Source organism: Homo sapiens, chromosome 6, assembly GCF_000001405.40.
Source record: "Homo sapiens chromosome 6, GRCh38.p14 Primary Assembly".
Classification (NCBI taxonomy): Eukaryota; Metazoa; Chordata; class Mammalia; order Primates; family Hominidae; genus Homo; species Homo sapiens.
The window spans coordinates 142,260,250-142,283,986 of record NC_000006.12 but is presented as its reverse complement, the minus strand read 5'-3'; the positions used below and the strand labels follow the sequence as shown (position 1 = coordinate 142,283,986).

At 37.1% G+C, this 23,737-nt stretch overlaps 1 annotated feature.

The window, feature by feature from the left end:
• Nucleotides 7,411-8,610: an enhancer, noted in NCBI's record as "CDK7 strongly-dependent group 2 enhancer chr6:142596514-142597713 (GRCh37/hg19 assembly coordinates)". NCBI's record gives its function as "activates an origin of replication core promoter dependent on BRD2, BRD4, P300/CBP, MED14 and CDK7 cofactors, with strong dependence on CDK7, by STARR-seq in HCT116 cells {active_cell/tissue: HCT116}" and the evidence as "EXISTENCE:reporter gene assay evidence [ECO:0000049][PMID:35650434]".

Sequence of the window (23,737 nt, the reverse complement as noted above, 5' to 3'; positions counted from 1 at the left end):
GCAAAATATTTGGTTAGCACAAAAGAAAGCAGGAAAGAAGGGGAAGAAGAACAAAACAGAAATGAAACAAATTTTAAAACACAGCAAAATGACAGACTTGAAGCCCACACTATAAATAATTTTATTAAATGTGAATTGACTAAACACACAAAATAAAAGTCAAAGAATGCCAAATTGGATTTAAAAGCAGAACTCTACTGCTGTCTAAAAGAGACACACATGAAATACAGCAAGTTGAAAGAAAAAGGACAGAAAACAGTGTAAATTTAGAAGTAAGCATAAGAAACAGTTGTTATGTTAACATAAGACTAAAGTTTTTAGCAAAGGAATATTTCTTTTTTTATTATTATACTTTAAGTTCTAGGGTACATGTGCACAATGTGCAGGTTTGTTACATAGGTATACATGTGCCATGTTGGTTTGCTGCACCCATCATCTCGTCATTTACATCAGGTATTTCTCCCAATGCTATCCCTTCCCCAGCCCCCCATACCCTGACAGGCCCCGGTGTATGAAGTTCCCCGCCCTGTGTCCACATGTTCTCATTGTTCAACTCCCACCTATAAGTGAGAACATGTGGTGTTTGGTTTTCTGTCCTTGTGATAGTTTGCTTAGAATGATGGTTTCCAGCTTCATCCATGTCCCTGCAAAGGACATGAACTCACCCTTTTTTATGGCTACATAGTATTCCATGGTGTATATGTGCCACATTTTCTTAATCCAGTCTATCATTGATGGACATTTGGGTTGGTTCCAAGTCTTTGCTATTGTGAATAGTGCCGCAATAAACATACGTGTGCATGTGTCTTTATAGTAGCATGATTTATAATCCTTTGGGTATATACCCAGTAATGGGATTGCTGGGTCAAATGGTATCTCTAGTTCTAGATCCTTGAGGATTTGCCACACTGTCTTCCACAATGGTTGAACTAATTTACACTCCCACCAACAGCGTGAAAGCATTCCTATTTCTCCACATCCTCTCCAGTATCTGTTGTTTCCTGACTTTTTAATGATTGCCATTCTAACTGGCATGAGATGCTATATCACTGTGGTTTCGATTTGCATTTCTCTGATGACCAGTGATGATGAGCATTCTTTCATATGACTGTTGGCTGCCTAAATGTCTTCTATTGAGAAGTGTCTGTTCATATCTTTTGCCCACTTTTTGATGGGGTTGTTAGTTTTTTTCTTGTAAATTTGTTTAATTTCTTTGTAGATTCTGGATATTAGCCCTTTGTCAGATGGGTAGATTACAAAGATATTCTCCCATTTTGTAGGTTGCCTGTTCACTCTGGTGATAGTTTCTTTTGCTGTGCAGAAGCTCTTTAGTTTAATTAGATCCCATTTGTCTAATTTGGCTTTTGTTTCCATTGCTTTTGGTGTTTTAGTCATGAAGTCTTTGCCCAGCCTATGTCCTGAATGGTATTGCCTAAGTTTTTTCCTAGGATTTTTATGGTGTTAGGTCTTACATTTAAGTCTTTAATCCATCTTGAGTTAATTTTTGTATATGGTGTAAGGAAGGGATCCAGTTTCGGCTTTCTACATATGGCTAGCCAGTTTTCTCAGCACCATTTATCAAATAGGGAATCCTTTCCCTATTGCTTGTTTTTGTCAGGTTTGTCAAAGATCAGATGGTTGTAGATGTGTGGTATTGTTTCTGAGGCCACTGTTCTGTTCCATTGGTCTATATATCCGTTTTGGTACCAGTATCATGGTGTTTTGGTTACTGTAGCCTTGTAGTATAGTTTGAAGTCAGGTAGCTTGATGCCTCCAACTTTGTTCTTTTTGCTTAGAATTGTCTTGGCTATGCAGGCTCTTTTTTGGTTCCATATGAACTTTAAAGTAGTTTTTTCCAATTCTGTGAAGAAAGTCTGTGGTAGCTTGATGGGGATAGCATTGAATGTATAAGTTACCTTGGGCAGTATGGCCATTTTCATGATATTGATTCTTCCTATCCATGAGCATGGAATGTTCTTCCATTTGTTTGTGTCCTCTTTTATTTCATTGAGCAGTGGTTTGTAGTGCTCCTTGAAGAGTTCTTTCACATCCCTTGTAAGTTGTATTCCTAGGTATTTTATTCTGTTTGTAGTAATTGTGAATGGGAGTTCACTCATGATTTGGCTCTCTGTTTGTCTATTATTGGTGTATAGGAATGCTTGTGATTTTTGCACATCGATTTTGTATCCTGAGACTTTGCTGAAATTGCTTATCAGCTTAAGGAGATTTGGGGCTGAGACAATGGGGTTTTCTAAATATACAATCATGTCATCTGCAAACAGAGACAATTTGACTTCCTCTTTTCCTAATTGAATACCCTTTATTTCTTTCTCTTGCCTGATTGCCCTAGCCAGGACTTCCAACACTATGTTGAATAGGAGTGGTGAGAGAGGGCATCCAGCAAAGGAATATTTCTACAGGATACATCAAACATATCATAAAGTTAAAAGGGTCAATATAACAAGAAGATACAACAGTTATAAATGTATATGCACCAAATAGCAAACCTCCCAAAACTGACAAAACTGAAAGGAGAAATAATTTTGACATTGTAGAAATGGTTGGATATTTAAAATATTTGTGTGTAGAAAGGAAAACTGGATTTAATGTATTTTCAGTGAAAATGAATGTTTTGAACATTGCCAAAGTAGAATTGAGGGTATTTGGATTCTGGGGATGAAGGAGGCTATTAAGTGCTTCTGGGGTTTGTATCTGAATGAACAGAAGGATAATAATTCCAAAATGAGATTGGGAACAAAGTATAGGCATTCTTTTCTAGAAAAGGATCAGTAAGGCATTTATGATACTAAAGTGTAGTGAACCAACTCTTCCTTTCTGGATATAGTATTCTCAGCACCCACTGGGACTTTCTGTTCTTTTTCTTTTTTTGTTGTTTTTTTGTTGTTTTGTTTTTGAAATGGAGTCTCGCGCTGTCACCTAAGCTGGAGTGCAGGGCGCAATCTTGGCTTACTGCAACCTCCGCTTTTCAGGTTCAAGAGATTCTCCTCCCTTAGCCTCCTGAGTAGCTGGGATTACAGGTGCCCACCACCATGCCTGGCTAATTTTTTGTATTTTTAGTAGAGACGAGGTTTCACTATGTTGGCCAGGCTGGTCTTGAATGCCTGACCTCGTATCCGCCCACCTCGGCCTCCCACAGGGGACTTTCTGTTCTTTAGGGAAATCATTTAACTTCTGTTAGCTTTAGATGGCATTTCTATTTGAGACAGAAAAAGTATGTGTGTGTGTGTGTGTGTGTGTGTGTGTGTGTGTGTGTGTGTGTGACATTAACCAAAAGCCTGACATCATAACATTGTCACAATAGTTGCTATATTGCAGTAAGGATAAAGACCTCACCTATGCAAATATAAATAGCACTGTTATTATTCAAATAACACATACTACTCCATCGACATAGAATATTTGCTTAAGCTATACTGCTATCTTTTTTTTAGAGCATGTTTTTCCTATAACCAAAGGCAGGCTCTATGTGTCTAAAGGTGCTCTGAGGTCATAGTTCAGGAGAGCATCATTTGTCCCAGGAAGGAAGTCAGTCCTAGTCAGTCCTGTTTTCCTTCCTCACCTTTTACTCCAGATTTAGCTGCTGTATAAAATGACTTGCTTCAGGTTTAGGCAAACCAGCTTAAGAGTAAGTAGGGGAAAAAAGATTAGAGAAGTTTATAAAATATATTTTTACACAAAACAGAAGATTAAGCATTTGTAAAAACTACCACAATGCAAGGTAGTATGTGAGGATATCCTGATATTAGTGCTGAATCTTACCACAGTTGATAGGAACGAGGAAACATTCTTGCTTTCTACTGGAGCACACAGGGAAGACTTTAGGCTGAAAGTGACATTAATTTGGCTCTTAAACATGTGACCCTTCATGCTTAACCTCCCTTAAAAGCCCCTCCTTTTTTTCTCTCCTTTCCTTTACGGCATCTCATGGGCCTTCTGTTCCCTCAGGTACGGGCTCCCTCATGAGCTTTCTGTTCTCTCTCTAACCCTCATCAAAATGGGCTGCCAACTAAAAAGTTGAGAAAGTTGTAAATAAACATTAGAACTAGAGCTACGATAGTTACCTTCTTTCCTGGATATTTGTAGTTTAACATGTAGGGAACACAATTAATACATACCTGGGGTAGAATTTCAGGATTTTACAGTAGTAGTAAAGGTAATTTCCAGGATAAGGCCCTTGTCAGCAGCTGGGAAATCAGCTCTGCCTATCGATTGTAAATGACCCATAATCTATAGCTACATTCCAAAAGTATGAATCAGAAAAGGAACAAAATGGCAACTGAAACATGACCCTTTTTTTGTTCATCTTTCAAAAGATCAGGAGAGAGCAGCACTTTATTATTGTGCAACATGCCAATGTCAGGGCAGAATCCAAAGAATTTTTAAGAGGATGTGAAAAAAATGACTAGAGAGAGCTTTCCTTGGATTGTGTCTTGAGCGAGTGCTAGTCAAGGAAAAATATCACTTACATACCTTAGAGGTGTATAGAAATGTGATTCAGGAACACTTGATATTTGGACTGCTGAGAAACCTGAATATTAAATTGGAAGCCCTGCAGTACACATGTCATTGCCAAATCATTACTCAATTTTTCTTTGAAATACCCTCTTGCTTTAGTGAGGGGAATATTTTGATAAGTGCCCAGAATTTCTCTAGAAATTTTTGTACTGTTTCTCTGCCTGAGGCTGAAAAGATATGCCCTCTGGAATCTCCCTAAATAGGGTTTCTCTTGGGATAGGGTTTTGTTTCACTTCGTTTTGTTTATAGGAAACTTTATTCTTTGAACACTTGGACTTCATTGCAGCACTTGTTTCTCTGCATGCATGTAAATGCCTATGCCTAATGGTCAATTAATAAATCAAAAAGAATACCTAATTTCCTCCTGTTGAGGTAGGAGTTTCTACCAGAAGTATTGGCTGAAACATGTGGTTTTAAATTGTATTATGCATGAAAAACAAGGCATTCTTGGGTGGTCAGTACAATGTAGTAGTCACAATGGAAACCAGAACAACTTGAAAAGATCCTTGTGGAAAAAACTCTGTGTATGTTTAAAGGAAAAAATATGTAAAGACTCCTTTGGGGCAGTGAGCTTCTATATCGAAAATAGGTAAACTTAATGTAGCCTCAGAACGAGTTTTTAGTGCTTTGGCTTGAAATTTAAGCAACAGCAACAAAAATTGGTAGAAGAAAGCATAAATTGTCATTGAGCTAAATTTGTAAATCAGGAGAGGAAGTAGAATAACGTACCTGTTTTTAAAAACAAGAATGATGACGTGGGTAAAGATAATCATCCAAGCATAATTCTACCCAAATACAAAGACATGAAATACACAGCCCCCTGTTGACATGGTTGTTTCTCTGGGATTGAGTCTCCTGTGCTCACTGCTGAGTTAAAGAAGTCTCAACTCTGATTCCCCTTACCTCTGAAGTTCCTGAGAGAAATCAAAGTCGTGAATTACCCCAGAGCTACTGAAGATACAACCTCTGATAGGGTTTGGCTGGATCCCCACCCAAATCTCATCTTGAATTGTAGCTCCCATAATTCCCACATATCGTGGGAGAGACCGGATGGGAGGTAATTGAATCATGGTGGGTGGGGGGGTCCCATTCTGTTCTCTTGATAGTGAATAAGTCTCATGGGATCTGATGGTTCTATAAAGGGGAGTTTCCCTGCACATGCTCTCTTGCCTGCCACCATGTAAGATGTCCCTTTACCCTTCCTTCATCTTCTGCCATGATTGTGAGACCTCCCCAGCCATGTGGAACTGTGAGTGAATCCATTAAACCTCTTGCCTTTATAAATTACCCAGTCTCAGGTATGTCTTCATTAACAGCATGAGAACATGAGAATGGACTAATACAGCCTTTCAGCAGAGTTGTTGATACCATATTGGTAAGTTATATGGACTAGCTCAGGGAGGTCCCCAGGTTTCTGAAGCAGGACATAAATTATAAGTAATGACCATCTCCATGGTCGCTCTCATCTCTGTTCCATGAACACTCTGGCTAAAACAGTTGGAGACAAATTCAAGCTTGATTTGCTTTCCAAAAAAAAAAGGCTCAGAACAATATTGAGTTTTCAGACTCCTTAAGCATAGTTCTTTCTCAATTTCTTTCTTTCTGTGAAATTTAATTGCTAGTTATTAAAGTTCCACCAATGTACTTAGCATAGGCCATGTTCTGTGGAAGGCTAGAAAGAGATGAATGATGTGGTTCTCCTGTGTGCTTTCTTCTTTCTGACTGGAAAGGCCTTCCTGCTTGCCTGGTCCTTACCCAGCCTTCACCATTATTTCTTGATGAGGAAGATAATTCTCAAATCCTAATTTCTCCACTGGATGAATGAATGTTTGTGTCCTGTCCCCAAATTCATAAGTTGAAATCTTAACCCCCAATGTGATGGTATTATGAGGTGGGGCCTTTGGGAGATAATTAGTTCATAAGCATGCAGAGCTGGTGAATGAGATCAGTGCCCTTATAAAACAGACCCCAGAGAGCTCTGTCACCCTCTTTCTGCCATGTGAGGATACAACCAGAAGACAGTCATCTGCAACCTGGAAGAGGATCCTCACCAGAACCCAACCAGGCAGGCACCCTCGTTTTGGATTCCAGTCTCCAGAACTCTGAGAAATGAATTCTGTTTTTTATAAGCCACCGTCTATGGCACTTTGTCAGAGCAGCCCAAACTGATTCAGACATTCAAAAGCCTTCTCTTCTTTCTACTGTGCTCATCCTCATTTTCCTACCTGACTACAAATTTCTTGAGGTCTGGACCCATATTGCTCATCCCTGAAATCTTTGAAGTATCTGGCACTGGGCCTGGCACATATTAAGTACCAAATATTGGTTTTTACAATTTTACAGCCAAGTCCCAGATGCATAAAGCAGCAAGTAACAATAACATTTCAAAATAATGGATAAGTAGGTGACAAAATGAGTGATCTATGCAAATATAATGCAGGAATTCTTAGAAAAGAGAAACCCTTATGCAGGGCTGAGAAAAGCATCATGGAGAAGAAGGGGAATGAGATGGACATTAATGGAAGACAGGAATTGAATACATATAAAAAAGGGGGAAAGAAGTATAAATTTACAGGCAAAGGTGCTATCATTAAGAAAGTTTTTTTTAGCAGAAATAATTAGGAATCATGAGAAAATTTCCTGGCTCAAGTGGCAAATTCAACCTAAGAAGAATAGGACATAATGATAACATCTGATTTTTATGGAGCATTTTAAAACAGGTAAGTTTTTCATCTGGTCTGAGAATTCTTTTTGAGTCCCTTAGAAAGTAAAAAATTCCATTTTACATATGTCCTGTGACCTGCATAGCAAATCTATTCAATCACAACACCACAATTAACATTCTCTGTGTTCCAGGCACTGTTCTAAGTTGTTTTCCATTCATTGGGCACTCGTTACAGATTATTTCCACTTTATAGTTTAGGAATTTGAGACACAGAGAAGTCAAAGTGTTTGTCTAAAATTGTACATGTAGTACATAATGAAGATACAAATCTGGTCTCCCTGACACTATCAACAGCTCTTTCCAACTTTGCCTTCCTCTAGACAGCTATAATTGTTTCCTGGAGTTTCAAAGGATGTGTCAGAGGTTACTTATAGCCAAAGAATAAACATGCTATATATTCCTGGAACATCTATTTTATCTCCCAAAATAATCTTTAAAAAATCACAGATATGTTTTTTAAATATTAATTTTAATTAATAGAAATTAACCCAAACTCAGCCTTTAAGAAAACTTCAAGGATAGTTAATTGCTCTTCAAGAAAAATTCAGGCTTTTTGACAATAGCTAGCTATAATGGATGTTTTTGGTGTTGACTATTCAGCATCCATGCTGTCTTTCCTCTGGAGCATCAATTTACATCTCCCAGTTTCCTACCGCCTCCCGTTGTGTGCAGTCTTAGAGTACCGAAAACCAAGGAGTCTTCCCTCAACTGGTCAAAAGGTCAGCATAAAGCCAAAGCTAAGTGAATCAGGATTTTTCTCTTCCAGGATTTTGAATCTTGAGCCTAAAGTCAGAAAAGATGGTTGGAATGGCATGCCTTCTACTTCTGATGGCTCACTGACTGATAAAAGCAACAGAGTTCTGTTGCCACTGAAACCCCTGGAGCTAGCTGCTTCCTGAACTTTCTTATGCTGGTTCTAGTGCTTTCCCTTCACTCTGTGATCTCACCCAGCAACTCTCAACGAACTCCCTTTTCACTTACATTATCCAGAGTCTGTTTACATTGCTTGAAACTGAAGAACCTTGACGAATGCATCAGTTCTCCTAGTGCATCTAGAATGTAAGTTAATATAACAAAGTGCATTACATACAACGCAGTGTGTGTGTGTGTGTATGTGAGATGCCTATATACAGATTAAAATAATAGCAAATAGGGGTTCAGATCAGGGAGAAGAAGTTGTCAGTCTGGTCTGGCAGGTCTTTTGCCTTTTTTCCAGTGCTTTAGACAGTAAAATTAATAAATATACACAGGCACGTTTATCTTACCTTTCTTGGACCTGCTTGATAATTAACTCATTTTGTCACATAGTCACATATCCATCCTGGATGCATATCTAGTTTCCTCCATATAAAGTAATCCCTTGTCCTTAGGATCCATGACTCAGTCCTCATTCACTCCTCCACACCAGCGGGCATAGTGCAGAGCTCTGAGTGGTTCCTGAAGACAGTTTTGTTGCCTTGATTCATATAACCTCCACTTAAAATTGTAGAAACATATTTCTGAAAGAGACTTAAAGGTGATTTAATCTAGGCTTTATCAACAAAGAAATTAAAAGTTAGATTTAATAGTGATTGAATAGAAGACCTACAAAATTAGAGACAAACTGGTACTAAAAGTCCAGATAACTGACTTCAAATCCAAGTGAATGAATTTCCCATTCATTTCTCATGGCCACACTTCATCATCCAAGAGTCGAAATGCATTTGGCTTCATAGTAAGTGCTACCAACTTTTTGTTCTTGAGGGATAACTCTTACAAGCCCAGCATAAGGATAGGTCATTCTAATTCAATTCGACTGGAGTATAAACTCCAAAGGCAGAGTTTATGCCTTTCTCTTATCTTTCTTCCTCACCTCTGGCTCACCTAGCAGTCTACCAGGAACATGTGGGACACAAATAAAACATCTGTTCAGCATACACATTATGGACTTAGATCTGCCACTTACAGGCGTGAGGAAGGACATGCTCTTTAGAATATAACATACAAACCTCAGAAGCTTCTTAAAGGAGATGTCCCGGCTCTTTAAAGCAAAAGAATTGCAGGCAGTCTTTTGACCTATTTGCCTCCCACATCATCTGAACATCTGGCAGCCGCCTTCTCCCTTCCCCAAATCTCTATGTATGACTGATGTCTGGGTATCAGTTCCCCCAACAAGAGAGGCATTTTGGGGACTGAATTTTGAAATCTCTAATTGAAAATCTCTGGATTAGGTGAAATTACATACAACTGCATTCAAGATTACCAAATTATTTAGCAAAGAATAATTTGGCCAATCAAAAGTATCACCCAAAGCATGTTCCTAATTAAAAAATTGAGTTCTTTCCATGCCTTGCTTTCAGGATGGAGCCATGTTTTTTAGAGAAATATATTTTAAAGATGTCTGACACATATTTGATTAACACCTATAGCTAAGAGCCTTTATGTTTTTGGTTGTCTGGCTGAAGAAAAGGGTCATACAATTTCACCATGGAAAATTAAGATGGAGAGTTATCATCACTGTCTACAAATATGCCCTTCCCCTACAGCTAAGATTAGAAAGGCACCAAGTTCTTGCAGGACTGTTATTCATGAGGAAATTATCTTTTCCAGAAGAGAAAGAGTCATCCAAGGGAAATTATGACATTATAAACAGAGAGAGGAGCAAAAAAGAGCTTTTTAAAAAAAGTCAGAATGAATGCCCTTGGCAGTGAAAGTTAAATGCTGTTATATGCTGTTCCAAGTAGACTCACTCAGCTATCGTGCTTACTACATAACACACTGGGCCATGTTTTTAGGGACATTATTTAATTAATCCTCAGAATTACTCCATGAGTAGATATTGCTCTTATCCCCATTGTACAGATGAGTAGGCTAAAATCATGCTAATGGAAAGTGATGAAACTAGCTTTTAAACCTAGATCTTGTTTGACTCGTAAGGGAGTATTTTAATCCATATGCTTTGCTACCACACCCAACAGAAATAACAGCAGGCTCTAGAAATGACATACAGTGCAAAATATATAGTCTGTCATTAGATAGATTTTGATCTGGATTCTGTTTTTACTACTTATTAGCAAATGTGATATGGTACAATCTACTTAACTTTTCCGAACCTCTGTTTGCCCATCTGTAAACTAATGGTAATAAAACATAACATGGGCTGGGCACGGTGGCTCATGCCTATAATCCCAGCACTTTGGGAGGCCTGGGGGGGCAGATTGCCAGAGTCCTGGAGTTTGAGACCAGCCTGGGTAATATGGCAAAACCCCGTCTCTACTAAAAATACAAAAAATTATCCAGGAGTGGTGGCTCGTGCCTGTAGTCCCAGCTACTTGGGAGGCTGAGGTAGGAGGATTGCCTGAGCCTGGGAGATTGCAGTGGGCCATGATTGCTCCAGTCTGGGTGACCCAGAGAGACTCTCTCTCAATAATAATCACATCAACAACAACATGTAGTTTTGTTGCTAGGGTTAAATGAGAATAGTAAAACTTCTGGCATATAGCACTTACTCAACAGCTTTGTTCACTGCCCTTGAGTAGTTCTTATTTTAAAACAGACAGCAGCTTACAGTTTTATTCTAATCTGAAAATGTGAAGCACAGGGACCTGCTGAGAATCCATGGAGGAAGAAAAAGACAAGGATATGGTCCTTGGACAGGCAGAGCTTTGCTGCCTCCTGCTTCCCATGAGCATGGGAAAGTGGACTTGCACTGTATGATATCCATGCTGTCTCCACTGTCATTTTATAATGAAACATGAAAGCAGCAGCTCTGAATCCTAATGGCAGGCATTAGTAGCATTGGAGGTGTGTGGAAAACAGGTATGTTTAGAGTCTGTTACCATATCAACAACAACACCAGCAGCAATAATAATAATAATTAAAAATAAACAGTTGTGAAGCCCCTTATGCATGTGTTTAGTGGCTGACAGGACAGGAAAGAAATCTTATTTTTGTAGTTCAGAGCATGGTGCAAATCAGTACATTTGTGTGGGCACCACAGTGTCCACACCTTTGTCTGACTCCACTCCCTTTTCATTTTTTTTTTTTTTTTAAGACGGAGTCTCACTCTGTTGCCAGGCTGGAGAGCAGTGGTGCGATCTCGGCTCACTGCAACCTTCGTCTCCTGGGTTCAAGCGATTATCGTGCCTCAGCCTTCTGAGTAGTTGGGATTACAGGTACGCGCCACCACACCCAGCTAATTTTTGTATTTTTAGTAGAGATGGGGTTTCACCATGTTAACCAGGATGGTCTTGATCTCCCAGCCTCGTGATCCACCTGCCTCGGCCTTCCAAAGTGCTGGGATTACAGGCGTGAGCCACCGCACCCAGCCCCACTCCCTTTTCTTTCTGCTCCCCAGTGGTGCACTTCTTCCTCTAGGTTTCAGCTGACAATTGAATTGTTCCATGTAGTTTTCCTTTTGATGATGAAGTGGATGGAAGAGTGGGCCATAGATGCTTCAGGTCCTATGTGTATCCAGGAGTGACAGAAACTGGTTCTTCCTGGAATCTTCTGCATTAAACAGCTTCAAGACACAGCTTGCCCATCATAACATCCCTAATCCTTCATTATGTCAACAAGACCCCCAGGTATATTATTTCACTTATTAAAGAGTGACAAGATGGTCCTTTTTGTTTGACCTAGCTTGGTGTGGGTCAAGGCTTCAGGAAGAGGGTAGAGAAACTCCCTGAAATATGAGGAATAGAAAATATAATTTGTCACCACCCATTTGTATATAATTTTATAGTTTATGAAGGAATTTTACAATCTGAAAATGAATTCCCTGAAAACACAGACCTCATAAAATTCCTATTGAAAATACAGAAATGGAAATAGATAGTGGTAATAAAATGTACAACTTTGTTTTTATAACTTTTCATTAAACCACTTGTGCTGTTTTATGCATTTTTAAAAAATCATTGTATGTCATGAAATTAAGACAGTTGTATACTACTTGGTTATCTGCTACATTTCTCAAAATTGAAAATAAAAATTGTATATATCTTTGACTAATCATCAGAGAAATGCAAGTTAAAACCAGAGTGAGTATTGCCACACACCAGTTCGAATGGCTGTGGTTAAAAACAAAGATAAATGTTGGTGAGGATGTGGAGTGAAGGGAACCCTAGTACATTGTTGGTGGGAATGTAAATTAGTACAGCCATTATGGAAAACAGTATGGAAGTTCCTCAGAAAGCTAAAAGTAGAAATGCCATATAATCCAGCAATCCTACTCCTGGGTATATATCCAACAGAATTAAAATCAGTATGTTAAAGAGGTGTCTGCACTCCCATGTTTATTGAAGTGTTTTTCACAATAGCCAAGATGTGGAATCAGCCTAGATGTCCATCAATGGATAAATATGAGTGTGTTATGTGTACACAATGTAATACTATTCAGCATTAAAAAGGAAATTCTGTCATTTCCAACAACAGGAATAAACCTGGCTGACATTATGCTAAGTGAAATAAGCCAGATACGGAAAGACAAATACTACTTTATGTTATTTATATATAGAATCTAGAAATGTTCAGCTCAGAGAAGCGGAGTAGAATGGCAGAGACTGAAGTGGTGTGGTGCTGGAGGGGGGAAGGAGGAGATGTTGGTCAAAGGGGACAGTTGCAGTTAGATAAGAGGAATAAGTTTTCGAGGCCTATCGCACAGCATAATGGATATAATTAATAATGCATTGTATTGAAAATTGCTAAGAGAGTAGATTTTAAATGTTTGCATCTCAAAAAAATGATAAAGTATGTGAGGTAATGCATTTGTTAATTAGCTAGATTTAATCATCCACAATGTGTACCTATATCAAAATATTACCTTGTACTCCACAAATATATACAATTATAATTTGTCAATTGAAAATAAGATTTTAAAAAGACAAAAAAAAAAGATTGAATGTACCTTTTCAAACCCTCAAGAGGTACTATTTATGAATAGAGACGTTTCCTGAATATATTTTAAGAAAGTTATTTACTAAGGCTTGGCAGCTGCACAGAATCAGCCAGAATGTAAACTACGAATGGCAGGAGTTTTATCTGGTTTTGTCCACTGTTGTACCCCAGCTCCTGGTACAGTAGGCACTTAAATTTTTGTGGAATTAACTGGGTAATAATTTATAACTTTGGTGCTTCTGTGCTATAACAATCTCTATCTATCTTTAACCACCTATCTCTATTTATTCCTCTATCCTGGTCATCCAATCCTTTCCCTCTCCACCCTTCTTCCCTGTCTTTACTTTTTCTCTCTTCCCATCATTGCCTCATGTTATTAGAATCCTCATCACACACACACACACACACACACACACACACACACACACACACACAGAGAGAGATCTTGACAGTATTCTTTACATCTGCTGAACACATAAAAAATGTAAGTCATGCTGTCCTTAACCATTTTATAGAATTTGGATGTCTATAGGCCAGTTGATTTCAAGGTACATGTAACTGGTGATATTATAGAATATCTTCTGCAAAGAGTATAACATTATAGGCAAACATATCTATTATGAGCCAGAGAAAGTCAAGTTTGGTAAGATGATTGTATTAGTTCATTTTCATGCCGCCAATAAAGACATACCTGAGACTGGGTAATTTATAAAGAAAAAGAAGTTTAATGGACTCACAGTTCCACATGGCTGGGGAGGTCTCACAACCATGGTGGAAGGTGAAAGACAAGTCTTGCATAGCAGCAGACAAGAGAGAATGAGAGCCAAGCAAAAATCTTATAAAACCATCAGATCTTGTGAGACTTATTCACTACCGTGAGAACAGTATGGGGGAAAACGCCCCCATGATTCAATCGTCTCCCACCGGGTCCCTCCCACAACATGTGGGAATTATGGAGCTGCAATTCAAGATGAGGTTTAGGTGAGGACCCAGCCAAACCACATCAATGATGTTTCTTGTTATTCCTCTATAACTTGTACACTTGTCTAAGGTGTTTGCAGTGAATTGAATGTTAGGCAAAGCCATGGTGAGTTTTTGAATCTGAGGGTGCCCTAGGATAGCCTGTCGCTTACGTACAGTTTTCTGACAATGTGAGAAGTAAGCCAGGAAACACAGCTGTTACACATATATAATTTTTTTCTACCTAAAAACTCTCATTTCTACCCAAATGAGTACGATAAAATCTGAAGCAGAGTTGCTTCTTAATTTGTTTTTAATTTAGCAAACATTCCATTTAAAAACAACTTTTGAAACCTTTGTTTCCCTTATGTCACCCACTATTGAGTGGCAAGGAAAGGATTTAGAAATGGCATTTTCTAACCAATGCATGATAGCAGCTCTTCTCAACTGGTGTGGGTCACCTGTGTGCCAGGAGATACTGACCCTTCAGCTGTCAGGTAGATGGAGCCCTAGGGATGGTCATTTCTGACCAAAGAAGGCATGTTTGAAGCTCCTTAGGTAGTAGCTGGTGGCACAAGGTCCAATGGGGTGTCTTGCTATCCCTGCAGGTGACAAGCATGCTGAGCCACATCTAGCACTACCTCTCCTCAGTGAAGTGACTGGGGAAGCCAAATGGATGATCCACCACCTGGACAACTTCTTGAGCAACTGGTCTCAGAGAATGCCATTTTACCCATCGTGTTCCGACACTAGGGGAGCCACGGGAAGAGTTTGTGGCCAAGGAAAAGGCCCATAGACCGAGGTGAGCTGGTCTAAGGAAGCTTGGCCGGGTCCACTGGCAGTAGCAGCACCAGGGGGTGACTGCAAACTTATGTTTGCACAGATCATATGAAATTTTCATATGACATTTACCGTTGAAAGAAGAGCGAGGAGCATTCATTTTCTGAATATAATTTCAAAAGTTATAAATTTGGGAATGGTTAAAACATGAGGTTGTAATATTTTCGTCACTTCATTTTGTGAACAAAGTATCTCTTCGTGGGAGGTTAAGAATTTCATGTCGCTATTTCAAACTAACTTTAAAAAGATGTATTCACAAAATCAAGCTTAAGTTTCCCATTAACCCATTCAAAAAATGTAATTTTGAGGTTATATCTAAATTCAACATTTAATATCATCTCTAATAATTTGGGCTTTTATGATAGTTAAGTAATGTAAAGATAATTTCAGAAAGCCCCATATAAACATCCCCAAACTACTTGTAGCTTATCTTGGTGTACTATATAAACACTATAATTGTCTATTTTGCCATTATTTGAAAAAGATTGGGAAGTAATTCCTTATAGAGTACATTTAACCAGCAGATATAAAGTAATAATAATAATAAGAGGAATAGGCTGGGCACGGTGGCTCATGCCTGTAATCCCAGCACTTTGGGAGGTTGAGGCAGGCAGATTGCCTGAGGTCAGGTGTTCGAGACCAGCCTGGCCAAAATGGTGAAACCCTGTCTCTACTAAAAAATACAAAAATTAGCTGGGCGTGGTGGCAGGCACCTTAATCCCAGCTACTCGGGAGGCAGAGCCAGGAGAATCGTTTGAACCTGGGAGGCAGAGGTTGCAGTGAGCCGAGATCGAGCCGTTGCACTCAAGCCTCGGGGACAAGAGCAAGACTTCTCTCAAAAAAAAAAAAAAAAAAAAGAGGAATATGAGTACGAACAAAATCTCAGGTACTTTGTATCTTAGATCACTTTAGTGAAGCATTGGAGACCTCACTAGGACTCAGAGAGTTACCCATGCCAACAAACCAATGTTTTTGTGGTTGTTGAAAGGTTGAATTGTGGTCTGATAGATGTCTACAGCCACAGTGAGAAAGCTGTTCTGGGATTCATTCATCATCAGCAGCCAAATTGCAATTTGTTTTTTATTTCTCCATATCTCTCAATCCCTTTCCTGCTTCATTTATGCAATAGAGAAGACTGATACTGTAGGAAAATAGGCTAGTAAAATGAACAGCTCACACAAAAAGAAAGGGATATGGTTCTTACTTATATAAAAAAGGCACATGAACTCTCTCACAAGAGAAATGCAAATTAAAACTCTACTGAGATACAATTTCTCACCTATTACCCTGGGAAAAATTATAGAGGTATGACAACCTAGATGGTTGGGATATTGTTACAGCAAAAGACTGAAAACACCTCAAATTGTCGTCAAGAGACTGGTTGAATAAAATATAAACCACAATGGAATATTACAGAGATGTAAAAAAGGAATGGGTAATATCTATATATACTACTATGGGACAGTCTCCAAGATTTAAGTCCAAAAAGCAAGATAAAATGTGTTTAGAATGCTATTATTTATCAAAAAGAAAATGTATGTAAACCAAGTAAGGTTTATCCTTCCTTTGTTCTTTTTGTAATATAAAATATGTATATTTTGTAATATAATATCTTATTATATTTTGTAAAATAATATCTTATATTACAAAAAGAACAAAGGAAGGATAAATCTTATTTTAGTTAGCAATACGTGAAGAGGGGAACTCAGGTAGAAGGGACAGGGATGGGAGCTAGAGTTCTTTGACTGTATCTTCTACTTGTAGATTTGTCTTTTGAAACATACATGTTATTTAATATAATTATTTAAAAAGTTTAAAATTTTAAAAATTTCTAAATATTAAAAATAATTTTTTAAATGAACCTATTTTGTACCAGTTGGTGGCACAACCACACCAAGTGGAATTATTTCCAATGATTTTAAAACACAGAAATTTGTATAGTTTCAGTGGGGTATACAGAGAACAAAAAAGCTACTAAATATTTAGTTCTTTCAGCAATTATGTTATTAGTGGTAATAATGTTATTATTCTAGAGTGTTCTGTGACTCAAGTGTACTAAATCAAATGAACAGTTATGTAATACTCAAATTTTAGTGTCACCATTGTCATTGAAAACCAGGACACTTTGCATCAGATAAAAGAAAAATTCTGTAATTGTAAGACAGTTGAGGGTATGCAGAAACAATACAGTTCTGAATTTGCATTGAATGTATCAAAATTAATTTATATTTTATAGCTCTGTCCACTGAAAAGGCCTAGAAATGATCAGGAGTAATCATAATACCCCTAAGGAATGGATTCCGGTTCCTAAATCATATTTCCCACTAAAAGAAACATGTCTTAGAGATATGTATAATTCTGAGGTCTGAGGTAGGAATTGTATGAGATGAGCTTGGAATCTGTTATCATATGAGATGGCAATGAACTTATCAAAGACTATAATTGCATCAAAATGACTCAGGATCCAATCTAACATGGTCCTACCAACCAAAGATGTGACATCTATAAAGACAACAATACAATAGATGAAAACATATCATTTATGCTCATATTCATGAGTTCTAGTAATTTTGAAAATAACAACCACCACCTAAGACTTGTCATGAGAGGATGTCTTCTTAGAGCTGTGCTGCTGACTGCACCTCTTCCTACCCAGTCCTTTTCCTCCACAGGCATCGGAACTGCACTGCAGACCGAACTCTCCTCCTCTTCTATTCTCTTCCCTTAACCCTTCGTAAGCATTTCCCCCAATATCTCTCTTGCACTTCTAATCCCATTTTGGCATCTGTTTCTCTGAGGTCTAAAACTAACACACCCCCATCAGCACATTAGTAACAATCAGAACATCAGATATAGTAACTGTTTTCTTAGGCGATAGAAAAAGTCTGGCTTTGAGAGATAGGATAAGAAAACAAATTCCTGGAGAAGCTAAAGGAAGTCATCTTTTAATGGATTCAGGAAAGAGACCTTCAACTCTGGATAAGAACAGTGTTTCAGGAGATGTCCAGCCCTGAAGGAGTGAGTTTGAAAACAAAGAATTAGACTTATGAGTTCCAGAGAAGAGTGTTCTAGATGAGTTTCTGGCAGGGATTTGGGCCTAAGGTGGGAGGCACTTGAGAGATGTTGCAGAAAAGGAAAAGAAATCAAGGTTTGTCTCAGGTAGAGTTTCAGTCTCATTATAGACACTAAAAGTAAACTCTTTACTTCTCAGTCTGGTGTGGGACCTGTTCTAAATTTTACTTCTCCTCTGACTGCCTGCAATTGAGGAGCTTTACTCTCCACTATAGAGATAATAGTTTGTTCTTCCTTCTCATCTTCCACTGTCCTAACCCAGAGCCAACCTTGAACTAAGCCTATCATATAACACTTTGTTTGCATATCTGCTTTTTCAACCAGACTTTGAACTTCACTACATCTCCAGCCTTCAACATAGTACAAGGTATACAGCAGAAACCCAATAAAGAAACAAACATATACTAAATTGAAGGCAATACAGGACATTAAAATACATCGCTTTCAGGGGCAGAAGTCCTCAATATTCCTAGAAACATTTATCTAGTAAGAGAGTCTGAATAAAATGGGGGAGTCACACAGTCACGTACAGTAAACCCTTCTCTTGAAGGATCATAAATCAGAATAACAAAATAAAAGCTCTGAGAAGTCCTGTATTAAAAAATTTAAATTCATTTAGTCTGAAATTTTGCAGAGTTTACTGTATTCCTATTTACATGGAACTATGAATTTATAAGGTGGCAGTGAGTGGTGGTCTCTTTTTTGATATGGTAATTTTCAGGAATAAAATGGCTTTTATACTGACAATAGTGCTATTAATCTTCAACTTTCTCATAATGATCCTCTGACTGCTCTGTCTTATTTTATTGATCATAGTTTTTACAAAATCTTAATTTGTTCCTATTAACTATTCTCTTATAGATGTGTTTCGTAAAAGAACAGGGTATTATTTGCAAGATTAAATTTGTGTTAGAAGAATACCAAGATGGGAGCTGGGTCTTCTCAGTCAATTAAACAGGAGAGTTTCCAATCATCATTTAAAGTCACATGAGAAAGTGTTTTCATCTAGTATGTTGTAACAATTCTTTTTAGAAATCTATTACGTTTTTGTTAGTATTCAGGAAGGAAAATTAACTTGAGAACTTGACACACACACAAAATAGCTTCAGCACAATTTTTAATAACACACTGGTGTCTTTGAATATATGTACTTGTCATTCCTGTTTAACAGCACAATATTAGACAGAAGTGAGCCCATAACTATACTTTACTTCCAAGTAAACTAGTATAGCAATAATTTTTAATGGTTGAATAATATTTTATAAACAAGTGTTCACAAGAGTAAGTGTTCTATAATTTCTTCATCCACTCCCCTATTAGTGGGTATTAACATTTTGCTTGTTTTCTTGCCACTAAAACATGGTTGCAATAAACAGTTTTATACATCTGTTAGTGCTTATATTTCATTGGGACAGAGTCCCACAAGAGAGATGGCTAGGTCAAGAATATATTTATTTTTAATTTTAGTGTATTTTGCTAGATTGCTTTCCAAGAAGTTGTAACATATCACATTAACATTGAAAGTATGAAAGTAATCTTTATATTCATTTTGACAACAATGGGGTGTTGTAGCTCATTGTTAAATTTTACTAGCCTGATGGGTACAAAGTGATCTTTCTGGGTTTTTTGGCTTTATTTTTTTTTCAAACAAGCATTTCTTTTAAGTGTTTCTTGCCCATTTAGATTAACTCCTCTGTGGTTTATGTACTCCTAGGTTATGCTATCGGATATGCTATTGAGCTGTCATTTTCTTGTCAATTTTAATAGCTCCTTGTATGAGTATACATTAATGCTTTAACATCCACATTACAAATATTCTCCATCATTATAATCACCTCTTGATTTTATTTGTAACAGTTTTGTTATATAAAAGCTTTTAATTTTTTTTTTTTTTTGAGGCAGGATCTGGCTATGTCACCCAGGCAAGAGTGCAGTGGCATGATCTCGGCTCACTGCAGCCTCAACCTCCCAGGCTCAAGTGATCCTCCCATCTCAGCCTCCTGAGTAGCTGTGACCACAGGTGTGTGCCACCATGCTCAGCTAATTGTTTGTATTTTTTGTAAAGACAGGGTTTTGCCATATTGCCCAGGCTGGTTCCGAACTTCGGAGATCAAGTGATCCACCTCTTTGGTCTCCCAAAGAGTTGGATTAAAGGCACTGAGCCACTGTGCCTGGCAGAAGCTTTTAATTTTGAAATTGTTATATAATTCTGAGTTTTCAGTGTTGGTTAAAATTTTCTCTACTCCTAGATTTTCTTACAAAAGTATTCTCATTACAATTTTACATCTAAATTTTAATTGTTAATCTGAAAAAGGTATAATAATGCGTTATTTTTCTTGTGTTTCTAAGCTTTTGGACAGTTCATATTCAAAATTAAAGCCAGTGCTTTTAATCCAGAAATACATCACTTGAAAATGTGTTGGAAGATTTTTTTTAAGTAAAAACACTTACTAATATACTGCTTAAAAATATACTGCTTAAAATATACTAAATAAAAATATACTGCTTAAAAATATACTAAAACAATACAACTAATAAACTGCTTAAAGATAAGCTGATTCTGTGTTTCCTAACTCTCTGGACTTCTTGTAAGATGTAACCTGAAATACTCTCTCTAATAGAAGAATCGAATCGAATGTGGTCTATTTATTTTTAGTGTGATGAGAGGTATTCCTGTTTTGTTAGTTTGTTTGTTTGTTTGTTTTTTGTAATTTCAACCTTTATTTTAGATTCAGGGGATACATATGCCGGTTTGCTACATGGATATTGTGTGATGCTGAGGTTTGGAGTACAATTGAGCTCATCACCCAGGAAGTGACTATAGTACCCAGAAGTTTTTCAACCCTTGTCTGCCTCCTTCTCCCACCTCTAATATTCCCCAGAATCTATTGTTGCCTTTTTTATGTCCATGAGTACCCAATGTTTTGCTCCGTCTTGTAAATAAGAACATGTGGTATTTGGTTTTCTGTTCCTGAGTTAATTTGTCTAGGATAATGGCCTCAAGCTGCATCAATGTTGTTGCAAAAGACATGATTTCATTCTTTTTTATTGCTGTGTAGTATTCCATGATGTAGATGCAGCACATTTTCTTTACCCAGTCCACCACTGATGGGCATGTAGGTTGATTCTATGTCTTTGCTATTGTGAATAGTGCTGTGACGAAAATGTGAGTGCATCTGTCTTTTTGGTGGAACAATTTCTTTTCTTTTGGATATACACTCAGTAATGGGATTGCTGGGTTGAATAGTATAAATTGGTGCAAAAGTAATTGCATGTTTTGCCATTGAAAATCATGGCAAAACCCTCAATTACTTTTGCACCAACCTGATAGTTCCAAGTTCTTTGAGAAATCTCTGAACTGCTTTCCTCAGTGACTGAACTAGTGTGTATTCCCACCAGCAGTGTATAAGTACTACCTTCTCTACACAGCCTTACCAGTATCTATTATTTTTTGACTTTTTAGTAATAGCCATTCTGACCAGTGTGAGATGATATCTCATTGTGGTTTTAATTTGCATTTCTCTGATGATTAGTGATGTTGATTTCTTTTAATGCTTTTTGGCCACTTGTATGTCTTCTCTTGAGAAATGTTTGTTCATGTGATGAACTCTGATGGAATGCACTATTTATAAATTTCTCTATGTGTTTAATTAAATATTTTGTTTTTTTGCATTTGGGGGCTATGTTTTTGAACACACACAAGTTCAGCTTTGTTATATTTTCCTATGAATTTTTTGTTAGCAGTATATAAGTAATCCTTTTGCTTATATTTTATACATGGCATGCATATTTTATACATGATTGTGTTAGGCCATTCTAGCATTGCTATAAAAGAATACTCAAGATGGGGTAATTTGTAAAGAAAAGAGGTTTAATTGGCTCTCAGTTCTGCAGGCTGTACAAGAAGTGTGGCACCAGCATCTGCTTCTGGTAAGGGCCTCAGGGAGATTTTACTCATGACAGAAGGCAAAGGAGGAGCAGACACATTCACATGGCAAGGGCAGGAGTGAGAGAGGGAGCAAGGGCAACAACTGACTCTTGAGTGAACTCATTACTGTACGGATGGAACCAAGCCGTTCATGAAGGATCCACTCTCTTGACCCAAACACCTCCCACCAGGCCCCATCTCCAACACTGGGGATTACATTTCAACATGAGATTTGGATTATTCATGATGTATCCCTTCTTTCTTTACTTTAAGTTTATTACTTATCTTACATGATTTTCTCAAATCTTTATTGTTTATTATTTCTGTGGGTTGATCAAATTTGTATTCAATTTATGTTTTTAATGACCTTGTTTTAGAATTTCTGATGATGTAATTTTACATTTCATCAATGGCTGACTTTTCTTTCTTTGCTCACATGATCAATCAAAAATAACCCAAACATGTCCCCCTAAATTTCAGTTTACCATTTAATATGCTCTAATTTTTCCTTATTTTTCTGCCATCCCAATATCATAAGAATGTTAGAAAACTTTCACCATCCTTTTCCTATAACTTTTCTTCCTACCCCCATGAGAACTTTAGAATGTTTTACTTCATCTTCTCTTTGTCCACTCCACCCTAACTTACATCAAGAATTTAGGGAGTTGTGCCATATTTTTATCCTCTGTAACAGTTTTTTCAGATAGGTATTATATGTTACCCGAAGATTACATATAATTTGCCAAGAAAAACATTGTTGTCTGGTGTTTTTCAGGACTATTTCTTTCTCTTTTCTTTGTTAATGATAAGTGGATTTAAAAATACAAATTTAGTTTTTTAAAGTTAAATTAATATTTTTCCAATAAATTATTTAAGTGTTATCTCAGTATTAAAATTTACCAAAGATAAAATTATTCATGTATTCTTCTGTGGTTAAAAAAATCTCTATTATAAATATAATGCCCACTTTTCACCAATCACTTTTATCAGAGGTTTGTTCATCTTCGTAGACAACGTTTGGGGTTTGCATTTGTTGGCTGGTCCTATATATTTTGTTTTGTTTACTTTCTTTTTCTCTTGTCAATATTTTCTTTCTCCTACATTTAGGTTTGTTTTGTTTCTTAACTATGAGTTGTTGATTACTCATTGTTTTCATCCTTTCTTTTCATGTTAGTATTTAACATTATACCTTTTACTATGGACAGTTTTGTAGCTGCAGGTTACATTTTTTTAATATAGTATGGTCATCATTGTTATGTTCTAGTTTCTAATGTACGTTTTAATTTTTTCTTAGAGTCAAAATAATCTGGAAGAGGGTTTTGATACTGATATATATTAAATTAATATATATAAATGATTATATTATTTGATAAAACTTACTGTGAATTATTAAGTGTTCAATATTTATATATATTCCATGTGTGTTTGTAAAGACTGTGTACCCTCAATTACTGGGTGCAGAGTTGTGCATCTGTTCATTAGATAAAGCTTATAAATCATATTTTTCAAATAATATAGGTTCATATCAATTAATTACTGGAAGAGGTAGGCTAAAATGTCCAACTCTGATGGAATTTCTCTATGTGTTTAAATATTTTGTTTTTGCATTTGGGGGCTATGTTTTTAAGCTCATACAAGTTCATCTTTGTCGTATTTTCCTATAAATTTTTCCTGTTAGCAATATATAAGTAATCCTTTTGCTTATCATTATGCTGCTGGAATGTATATTTTATTAATAAGGCTTTATTTATTTATTTATTTATTTTTGAGACAGAGCCTCACTCTGTCACCCAGGCTAGAGT